The sequence below is a fragment of the Homo sapiens genome, chromosome 6, assembly GCF_000001405.40.
Source record: "Homo sapiens chromosome 6, GRCh38.p14 Primary Assembly".
In the NCBI taxonomy this organism is placed as follows: Eukaryota; Metazoa; Chordata; class Mammalia; order Primates; family Hominidae; genus Homo; species Homo sapiens.
This window is the reverse complement of record NC_000006.12, coordinates 129285901-129297946: the sequence shown is the minus strand read 5'-3', so window position 1 is coordinate 129297946 and position 12046 is coordinate 129285901. Positions and strand designations below refer to the sequence as shown.

The following is a 12046-nucleotide window of genomic DNA, read 5'->3' as shown; positions in this document are numbered from 1 at the left end:
TTTAAAAGAACAAACTGTTACAGAAGTCAGACCCTAAAACTATCAGAGTGAATATGTAGGACTTAAGTCATATTTACAGACCTGTGCAGCCTCCTTCTTGGAAGTTGAAATAGCCGTGGGCACAGCGGTCACATTTCTTCCCTGTGACTCCAGGTTGGCACCAACATTGTCCACTCTCTTCACAGTCGAATGACTTAGACCCAAAAGAATTGCAGTTGCAGGGAACACAGCCCCTTGCTGATTGTAGGCCAAAGGTCCCAGCCTGGCAATGGAAGAGGAGAGAAAAATTAAATTTAAATCAGTTAACTCGAAGTGAAGCAAGATGCACAATACCAAAGATCAGGTGGGAACAGAGGAACTTAGGAGTTATCAGGATTCCTCACTGATGTTATGACAATTGGGTTTTCATTCAATCAAATGGACCTTTTCTATGATATCCAAAGAGAAAAGTTCAATTATTCTGAAATTTTATCAAAATTAACTGCAGAATTAGGCGCTTCCTTTACTGTCTGTTGTATTTTCACCAGCCTGTCCCAGTACTTCTCAAGATTTCAATAGCAATATGGAAAGGACCTATAGGTGGTATTTCTAGTCTTAATTTAAAATTTTACTTCTTCATTTTTAGTAATCTGAATTGATTACTTTCAGATCTATGGACTCCTACTTGGTAAAAATACTTTCAACATTATTGACCAGCAGCCTAAAGTTAAAATAATCCTTTTTGCCCTAATATTTGATAGAATTTTGTCACATATCCATAAATACTTTTAATCATTGCTATAGTGTTCACATTATAAATATAATTTTCAGGTTATGCTTACACTGATCAAATAATTGGTTCAACAAACATTTGATTTCTTAGGTTTCATTCTAACAATTGAAATTGATTAGTGAGAACACGTATTAAAGCACCAGATCAGGTAAGTAAACTTTCATTCTCTGATGAGTTATTCATATGCATATCTCTTATCTATCTATAACAAATCATCTTTTACGGTCAAGTTTGCATTACCAGCTTCGGCTGACTTTCTTGAAATGCATGTTATCAGGCTTAAAATGAAACGTTAGAAAATGCTGATGGATTAAAAAATCACTCCGAGCAGAAAAATGAAAATCATCTATCCTGCTTAAAATACTTCAGGGTTATTTTTTAAAAATATAAAGCATGTCACATTATTATGATATTTTAATCTGGAAAATTATTCTCGGTAATTACTTCTTTGTAAAAATAATTCTTATTTTGGAAAATTAGACTTAATAATTGCTTCTTGGTAAAAAAAAATCTTGCCACTTAACGTGAGCCACCCAAAGAGAAATTAATAAGCCTCATTATATATTTTAGATATTATTGTTAGTAGTTTTAAAAATAAGTTATAAAAGTGAAATCACACTGAAAATTAGATTTTTAAAATGACCGTAGCTAAGAATAGTTTTATTTTTAAAATGTAAAATGGGTTGACTGAGTTTGACGATCATTCTCATCTTTACATTTACTGTTGGTTTTATTTTTATTTCTAGTTCTAATTCAGATTGTGGTATATGATTAAAGAAAAAAGCATGTAACAGTTCCAACAGATGACATGACTTTGAAATTAAATTCACCTATATAAAAAAAACTAACCATATAATATCATTATTAGTAAAAGAAATTCATGTAAAATTTTAGATACCTGGCTTAGAGAAATAATCAGAAATTGGAATATTATTAAAGCAAAAGCATGCCTATTACAATATTATTTATCATGGTGAATAACTATGCAGGCACTTAACTGTACAATGTTATAAAAATTGTTGAATAAATTAAATGATGACATCCACATTATGAAATAATATGCAAGAATTAAAATCCTGTTTTGAAGCAGTTTTAATGATATAAATATGCTTAGGATATAGCATGAAATAGAAATTAAACAAAAATATGAAACTATATAAATACTATGTAAATTTCAATTACATACCCATACCACCAGACACACAAACAGAAACAGAAATACATAGACAAAAAGACTAAACATAATATATTAAAACGGTATTGAAAAATATCTGAGTCATAGAAATAATACTTTGTATTCATCTTTATTTCAGAAATTGTCTTCACTCATATATCTATGCCGATATATGTATAAACACATATATATACACACTCATATATATATACATTTACTCATATATATTTACATCTATATATCCACACTCTCATATTGATTTACTCATTAAAGGGGTGTGTGTACACCCCTTTAAATCAATCAAATATCAAATGAGATTCCAAATTATAGCTATCATTTTAAAAATTCCAAAGTCGATTATGTAAGGAAATATACAAGAAGAAACGGTTCTACCTCACTTTTCAAATATTTAAATAATGTAGCTTTAAAGGCTAAGTTGTAGCAAAATAAATACTACCAAATTTCAGTAATAAAATGTTTACAAATTTGTTCAAAAATTTGTTTCAAAGGCTAAAGAAAACCCCACTAGTAAACAAACTTAAGGAGCAGACATTCATGGTCAGTAATTGAGATTAATGAGGTAAAATAAATATGGGAGAGAGTGGCTATCCAGACCCAGTGAGAAACTGTATAGGTTCCCATAAATGTGTCTCTCTCGGGGTAATAAGAACTAGCATTCATATATTGTGCTTCCTTTTTGCAAAGCACAATTCTAAACCCTTTACAAATCTAAACTCTTTACAAATATGTACTCATTTACTCCTCAGGACAACCCTGGCAGAGAGTTGTCATTCTCACCACTTTTTTATTGAGTGGTGAAACTGAGGCACAGAAAGGTTAAGTAAGTTGCCTAAGGTCATGAGCTAACCAATTGTGGAGTCAAGATTCCAGATCAGCTAGGTTGGCTCCAGAGTCTGAGCTCTCAGCTCTCACACATACTGCTGCAGAGGAAAAAATAGTCTCGGGACAAAACCCTGCTTCATACAATAGTACTGTAAGATATGTAGGGCTTGAATGAACGTTGACTTTCTGCTAAATTTATATTTAGGAGACATTTTAATCAGTTATTATCTTTTTCTTTTATTGTAAATGTATGCATTTGTTTTTGAAAAAAAATTATTTTAAACATTTCTTCATTTAACAACATTGGTAATAATAATAGTAATCAGGCCTAACATTTACTAAAAACTCTCTATGCTCCTGCCTGATGCACTGTTCTCACTGCTACCCTGAGACAGCCTTGGAGGCGCCTCATCCGATCTACCTGCAAGACAACCTACAGTGTGGAATTTTACTGACTGAAAGCCTCCAGTTTCTTGTCTTTTGGACCCATCAGAGGTGCTCTGTAATGGACTGAATGTTTATGTCCCCCAAAATTCATATGTAGAAATCTTAACCCTCAAGGTGGTGGTATAGACAGGAGGTGGGGCCTTTGGGAGGTGATTAGGTCATGAGAATGGAGCTCTCATGAATGGGATCACTGCACTTATAAAAGAGGCCTCAGAGAGTTTCCTCCCCCAAGTGAGGTTCCAGTGGGTAAATGACTGTCTAGAGAAAGAGGGCCCTCACTAGATAGGAAATCTGCCAGCACCTGGATCTTGTACTTCCCAGCCTCTAGAATCGTGAGAAATGAATTTCCATTGTTTACATGCCACTTAGTCTATGTTATGCTCTTATAGCACTCTGAATGAATTAAGATGAGCTTCCACAAGAGTATCCTTCTCTCAGGCTGATTACTGTAAGATACTAGAACCTCCCTGACCAATTCAGGATTCCTTTAGTGGGTAAAATTTGCTTGGGTATATCCCATTGGCTTGGCCAAGAATTTAAGATTTGACAAAATGCACCAAACAAGGCTTTTCCTACCCAGTCTTTCTTTCTGTGTTTTCCCGGGAGTCAGAACCCCATTGCAGCAGAAGGCTATGCTGTCTCCCACTTCATGCTTCGTTGGCCTTTCCCCCAGGAAACCTCTTGGCATTTGCTTCTTGGAGTACGTAAGCAGACATAAACCCTCTGAAGTGGATCTTACTACAGATGAAGAAGCTGAATTACAGAAAGATTCAAGGAATTTATAGCTAGGAAGTAATGAGGCCAGGATTTGATCTAAGGCAGTCTGACATCAAAATTTGTTTTTTAAAAAATGTGTGATAATGAGCCAAGAAATAAAACCATGAATTGTTTTTTACTTCTTCTTCTTTACTTTTTATTTCCATCTCTCCTTCTTCTATGCCCTATCCTCAATTCTCTACAGGTCCTGACTCTATACTGGTAAGTCTTGTCTCCTACTCTTCTGCAGCTCAGCCTGGGACCTCTTCTTCCCTCCCTCCCTCTCTTCCTTCTTCCCCAGCATTTGTTTTGTTTTGTCCTGTGATATGAGAACCACACTTTTGTAATTAGAAACAACTTTCCCCGTTTTGGGTATTTGTCCATTTATAGTGTGTGAAAATGTGTTTCTTGCATTTGTTGTACACATAAGCACAATTGATGTGGAAATTAACAAAATTCTTAATTATGATGAAATGCCTGATAAATGGGCTGAGTTTTCTTGGACAAATCAATTTCTCTGCTAGATTTTCCTTCATTTGTTCATTTATTAAAGTTAGCTTTCCCCAAAGGTTGCCTGAAGTCTCTTCCATTTCTAAGATTATAGGTTCTCTCAAGTAGATTTTTATTTGATTTCCACATATTCATGGTTAATTGAAAGTTTGGTTAATTGAAAGTTTTATGACCCTATGAACTTGAATATGCTTTTTAAAGCATACGGATGGTTATTTTTAAAAGGGCAAGGGTTCAATTAGGAATTGTCTAATCTTTGCATTTGCAATTTGCACACTTAGCAACTGTTATTTGGTAAAATGCCACCAGGGAACTTCAGCCACAGCACACAGAACACAACATGCAGAGGCATGAGCCATGCAGCGCCTCTGGGATTACCGGAGCTGGGGCCCGATAGGCTCCCCGAGGGCACCCGCTGGAGCTGCCGATAGCCCACCTCTGAGGAGAACCCAGCACCCGTTGCGCTCTCCGCGGCTGCTCCTCCTGTTGGTGCACCTGCCTGCCGAGGTTGCACTGTTTCCCTACGAAGCCTGATTTACAGACACATCTTCCTGTAATATCACATTGCGGTGACACAGAGCCAACGGGATCGCAGTCACATAGCACACAGAATCGCTTCTCTGGATCCCGCCACATATTGGGCTTTAAAAACCAACCATAAAATAAAATAAAAACAAAACAGAGCAATGATATTATTCAAGAGACAGAAGCAGATGATATTTTCAAACTTCCTACAGTAAGGCCAGTTTGACATCGGAGAAATGCTTGCTTCTGCTTAGCTGTCTTTATCACAAATACAATGTATTTTTGTGAAAGCGCTAGAGCAAATCTGTCCACCCTCATGGAGGAATCTGAAGTTGCTTGCCATACTGAAAGCAGGGCAATCGGTATGTTCAGGGACTGAGAACAACATGCTGTATTTTAATTGAATATTTTGTTTTAGCAAAATAATGCATCTTTAAAAATATCTTGATTAACTTCTCTACTGAAACTTCCATTAGGTAGACTGCTCACAGGAAGTAGCTTTTAAATGATGGAACTAGAAGAAGGTGTTTGCTAAAAAGCAAAGGGAGTAACATTTTGGTTTGTTTTGTTTTTTGAGATGGAGTCTCACTCGGTCGCCCAGGCTGGAGTGCAGTGGCACTATCTCGGCTCACTGCAACCTCTGCCACCCAGGTTCAAGCGATTCTCCCGCCTCAGCCTCCTGAGTAGCTGGGATTACAGGCACCTGCCACCGTGCCTGGCTGATTTTTGTAGTTTTTAGCAGAGATGGTGTTTCACCATCTTGGCCAGGCTGTTCTTGAACTCCTGACCTCGTGATCCACCTGCCTTGGCCTCCCAAAGTGCTGGGATTACAGGCATGAGCCACCGCGCCCAGCCCCAAGAGTAACATTTTATTCTGCCAAAAATGTAAAGGCAAAGGAAAGAGTATCTCCACAGATTAAGATTAAATTCGCCTGCTATTTGTTTCAGAAATGTCTGAATTAAAGCGAATATAATACACATTCACTGCCAAAAAAAAATGTTTAAGGTCAAATGGTAATGTACAATGAATTTTGTTCTAGTTTGAAAAAAACTTTTCACTGATCACAGTCATTTCAATTGTAGAATTAGATAATCCCAAACCTTCCTTTTAATATACGAAGGTATACAAAACATGTCATGAAAAGCCAGTGAAAATCTGTAAGGAGAAAGTAATTTATGGGTCAGCCTCTACTCCTTACCTTGCATTTGTCACATCTCTGACCCTGAACGTTGGCTCTGCACTCACACTGTCCAGTTTGACTGTGGCAAACCTCAGAGAAAGAGCCACCGGCATTACAGCGACAGGCTGCAAAGAGAAGAGAGACCTGTGATCAGGAAAACTTTCTAATAGTCTTAATAGGCTTGTTAAATAATAATATACCCCACATGGTAACATGGACGCCTAAGTTCAGTAACAGAATGTTTTCTGATTTGTTAAGTGCCCTGTTAGGCATTCTATCATTTAATCCCTATAACAACTCTACAAGCTGTAGGGATAATTCACATAAAGGCTTTAGCATCATGTCTGGCCCATCATATGCCATTAAAATATTAATGTCATCATCATCATTCCAATTTTGAGCATGAAGACACTGAAATTCAAAGAAGCCATAGCTTATACAAGTCCACATGCCTGCTGTGTCATATAGGTGAGTCCAGAACGTGACAGGAACTTGGAGTTCTTGACTCAAGGTGTAACGCTGTTTTAGTTCTTTACAGATACATCAGGGTAACACTTAAAATACTATTATCCCATTGTAAGTAATGCATACTGACTTTAGAACTAAAATAATTTTGAGGAATTTTCAAAATTAATAGCACCCCTGGCAAAATTTTAATGTTACTATTAATCTAGAAAAATTTAGTTAGTTTTTTTGATTTAATGATTTACTGTGTGCCGGTTTTGTGTTAAGTTTAAAAAATGGTTTGAGGTGAAATATTTATGCCTTTTTTAAGATTCAGAAGTTTAAAAGACAACAAAAACATCATTTCAAGTATCTTAAGACTATAGCATTATAACATTTAAGAATCACTTTTATTTTACAGTTTATATGCTATCTCCAAACATACAAAACATATTTCATTTAAGTAATCTTTTGTCTTTTTTGCTTTGTTATAAAGCTGTCTGAGGTTATTCTAAAACGTAGAGTAAATCAGTCTAAAGCTTAAGTGACCTTTTCACAAATAGAATAGTAATTAATTGTTTACTATGTACCCTATATTTTTAATGGTACATATAATTGCATTTATATCAGAATAAAAATACAAGGAGGAGATGACATGGGAATTTAGGCTACTCATAGATGATTTTGTTAAATTTCTGAATATTTTGATTTGAACACAACCTAAAATTAAGCTATAAACAGGTACTCTATCAGCCTATGCTAATATTTTATTCTCCTGGCTCTAGGTTCTCCTTTTAAAAAACAAACAAATAAACAAACAAAAGAACTGCTTTTCTAAAAACTGCTTAATTTATCTTCCAGCAAAGTTTGTCTTCAGTGTCTGCCAAGGGGATACTAGAGTAAGGGCCATTGAGAAACTGAAAGAGCCTACGGATAGTCTATAGCTGAAATACAAGGAAAGGCTGAAAATTTTTCCTTTAAATATCCATTTTCATCTGATTTATCGAATTTGTATATACTTTTATTATTTTATGAAAGTTTCTTATGCATATCATACATTTTTAAAATATCAAATTATTTAGACTTTAGGAGTCACTTTTTCTTGGAGTGTAAACTACAAAATTAAATTTACCATAAATATGATGGTAATTAATTAATGTTATCGTAAAAACAACAAAGCAGTATAAAGTTTTGCTAAAGTGTCATTTTAATGGAAAAATATGACACCAACGATATACACAAATTTAAAATGCAAAATATATTTCTTTGTAGTGGTGTACTTTTCTTGAACAAATCTATAGGTAACCAAAATAATGTATTTCCAGGAACTTTCTTTCCTTGAGGTTTTACCACTTATGCATAGAAGTGATATTGTATCCATGAAAAATTATAAAAATAAGTAATAAATGTGCTTCTTATACTTTTAATTGTGATTATATGGCAAAGAGCATTAAAAATTATAATCACATCTATACTCACGGCAAGTAGTATGAAAACTGGTAATGGTCAAAATGTTTTTATTCTCACATTCTTTTTTATGTTCTTAAGACTTCATGCCATGGATCCCATAATAAATTACCATAATAAAATAATCCCATAATAATTTTCTACAATAATTAATTACCATAATAAAATAATAATTAATTACCATAATAAAATAATCCCACAATAAATTACCATAATAAAATTAGTGGAATAATATCCCTAACTTTATGGGGGTGGGGGTTATTGGAAGACAGGATAAAATGTCAGTAAATGACTAACTTAGCCTTAGAATTCACTGGTGAACAACTGATATGCACAGCTACTATGAGCACTGCTACCAAAGACAGCTACCATGTGTGAGCATCTCCAGGACTTGGGAACTCACTGGATACCCTCTATGTGCCAAATCCTTTAGTCCCCACAGAAAATTCATGACTCTCTTTGTAGACTAGAAAACTGTGTCTCAAGGAGGTCAAATATCTTGCTCAGGAGCACACAGCTAGAAAATGTAGATCCTAGATGATCTGTGGGAAAGGAAGAATTTCTTAGGCTTTCTATGATTTTATACATTTGTCAGGAATCCAGTGTTTAAAGGCACTGAGCTGTTGGAAATTTTGCTTTAAAAAAAGATCAATTTACAGGTTATATTAACAGCTGCCAGTTGGTCCAGAAAGTGATTTGGTTTTGATTCAATGAATTATCATTATTAAATAACAAAAAGCTAGAACTCATCTTCTAAACCTGTGATGAGAGAGACACATTTCTTAATGAAATAGGGTACCCTACTGGGTCTTTGGTGCTTACAGTAGAGTTGATAATAGGCTACATTTACAGTGGTTTCTATAATTCTGCATGTCCTGGGACCCACCTGAATAATTGGAAGAGTCTCTCACATAAATTTGACAGAAATGAATGGATAGGCTGGTCTCATAACCTACTCTGCTTAAACATTATGATAGTAAATGAAGCTGATGATGGCCAAATGCTAACATTGGATTCACTTTCCATTTGATCTTCTGCAACAAGATCCGCCTTCATATTCTAATCCCACTGACATTAAGGATTTGGAAATTCTATGTAGTATTAATACAGCAAAAAAGGTAAAGAGGGGAGAAATGTATTATACTAATATGGATGAAGCCCTAGAGTAGCTAATTTTGTGGAAGGAAAACACTGAAAGAGCATTCTAGAAATAGTCCTTAAATGACTATTATGAAACTAAAATGAGGTTAATCATTCAACAATGACAAATGCCTGTGTGCGAAAATATTGGCAGAATTTTATACCTATTACAAAATACGACACTGTAAAGTTAACATATGAAAGCATAACTGATTAACACCTTCTGATGGCTACTACTGAAATATCATGGGCAGAAAAAATTATTTAAAGCAAGTGATTAGAATTGAGATAAAAAAATGGATACATGGTGTCTATCTAATATGCAAATTCTTCTTTCCTGCTGTGGACATAAGTTCATTAAAAAAATCTTCCTTCCGCATGTAAATAAAAACATGTTTATCATTTGGAAAACAGTGATGCTTCAATACCACAGCAATTTTAAAGGTATTTACTCTATTAGTTAGTACAAGGAAATGTTCTGGAATATGCAGACTCTGTATATTCTATGCATCTATCAACCATGTATTCCACATAATTTCCTACTCTTCAATCCACACTCAAGAACTCATCAGCTACTTTGAGGTACAATACATCAATTCTGTCAGGGGCATCAATAGTTCAGGACTTACGCTGACAGTTCTTCGCATCAACTGCATCTCCAAAATATCCATCAGCACAGAGCTCACAGTACCGGCCTGTTGTACCTGGTTTACATATCAGACAGGAGCCAGACAAGCTGTCACAGCTGCCAGGGATGGAGAAGTCAAGGTTGTCATTGCATTGGCATGGCTGACATGATCCTCCAGGTACAGAGGGTTGTCCAAAATAGCCTTCTGCACACCTAAGGCAAGAAATTTCATCAGTGAGCCTTTGGGGGGACCTCAGTTGGGGCAATGTTTACATATTTTTCATTCTCCCCTTCTCCCAGGATGATGGATTTTCCTTTTAAGTGTTCCTTTTCTCAAACGCAACGTGATTAAAAAAATGTTTTTCTACAACTGCAGTGTAGATACAAGATGATATCCTGCCAGCCCACTAGTAATTAGATTTCAGCCCGAAAAAAATATATAATCTTGTCACTGGCACTGAAAATGAGACCAAAGCATAATAAGAATCTGCTGCTGGCACTCTGGAGGAATCCAGGTCCATGTTGGAAAGCCTTTGTAGTACAACACATCATATGTCTCTACTCCAATTGGTTATTTTCTCTACAAATATGTAAGGTTCACATTTTTTGTTGTTGTTGCAGCCAGAACTTGTTATGAGGAAACAGGCTCGCAAGGAAATTCAGTAATAAGAGTTCAGAATTTATTAACTAGAAACTGTGACTCAGAAGATTCTTATTAATTGGATGGGAGCTGTGGGTATATCTGAATTAATAATCTATTTGTATGTATTTGCATATGAATTCAGAGGCAAATTTTCATTGAAGGCTTTACTAAAGGGAAGTCTGAGAAAGCATGCCTGCATATTATAGGAATATGCCATAAGGTGATACTGAACTGTGCCTGCCAACTCTATTAGCAAACTCCAGGTCTTTCTCCCTTTCTTCCTTTCTTTCTCTCTCTCTCTTCCTTCCTTCCTCCCTCCTTCCCTCCTTCCCTCCCTCCCTCTTTCCTCCCTTCCTTCCTTCCTTGCTTCCTTCCTTCCTCCCTCCCTCCCTCCCTCTCTCCCTCCTTCCCTCTTTCCTCCCTTCCTTCCTTCCTTCCTCTCTGTTTCTTTCTTTCTTTGTCTCCTGCTCTTTCTTTCTTACCAAAAACTATTTATATTATATATTATATAATATATTATATATTATTATATATTATATAATATATTATATATTATTATATATTATATAATATATTATATATTATTATATATTATATAATATATTATATATTATTATATATTATATAATATATTATATATTATTATATATTATATAATATATTATATATTATTATATATTATATAATATATTATATAATATATTATATATTATTATATATATTATATAAATATAATATATTATATATTATTATATATATTATATAAATATAATATATTATATATTATTATATATATTATATAAATATAATATATTATATATTATTATATATATTATATAAATATAATATAATATAAAACTATTTATATAATATATTATATTATTGGAAAAACAAAAGTTTGTTTATAGGGCATGGCAAAGAAGATTTTTAAAAACGATAGCAGCAAATTTTCTCTGACCTAAATGTTATGTTTTAAAATGCAACTTACTGCTACAGGTGTGCAGAAACGTCCTTATAGGCAGCGCCTATTTATATTCTGCTCTGTCTTCTCTTTCAATGACATTTGCTCACACTTTATACTAAGCCACATTTGCCAAAGGAGAAACAGAACAGGGCATCTGAATCTTATGGTCAGGCTAGCTCTGTTATCTTTGCCATCTTACCAAGATAAAGTCTTTTGCAGCAAGTGTCAAAATTGAAGGGGATCAAAAACAATGTGGGAGAATATAATTTCCTCAGTAGTACACCACTTTTATGCTCATCTACTCACAGATATGCAGTCATTATTTAGAGAAAGGCTCTCTACCATTTGAAATAAAAATGGTTTAAATCCAGTACATTATATTGAGAGTACTTTAACAAATCCCAATTCTGGGGCAGAGCCATTAATTTGGTGCAGATACATTGATGATTCTAAGTTTTCTAGAAAATGTATAGGTACTTAGGTACTATAATTCATAGATTTGATGTTTTATCATAATTTTTAAAATGAAATTACTTATATTCACAAAAGATT

At 34.4% G+C, this 12046-nt stretch overlaps 1 protein-coding gene across 2 annotated transcripts in view; it reads right to left on the bottom strand.

The window, feature by feature from the left end:
- The window catches only part of LAMA2 (laminin subunit alpha 2), a 633429-nt gene that overhangs the window by 218620 nt on the left and 402763 nt on the right, over positions 1-12046 (bottom strand). For both annotated transcript variants that reach the window (NM_000426.4, NM_001079823.2), the window contains exons 19-21: positions 9889-10100; positions 6227-6333; positions 82-262 (exon numbers count right to left, since the gene is read on the bottom strand). In NM_000426.4, the coding sequence (NP_000417.3) occupies positions 82-262; positions 6227-6333; positions 9889-10100 (500 nt within the window). The remainder of the gene's footprint in view (positions 1-81; positions 263-6226; positions 6334-9888; positions 10101-12046) is intronic.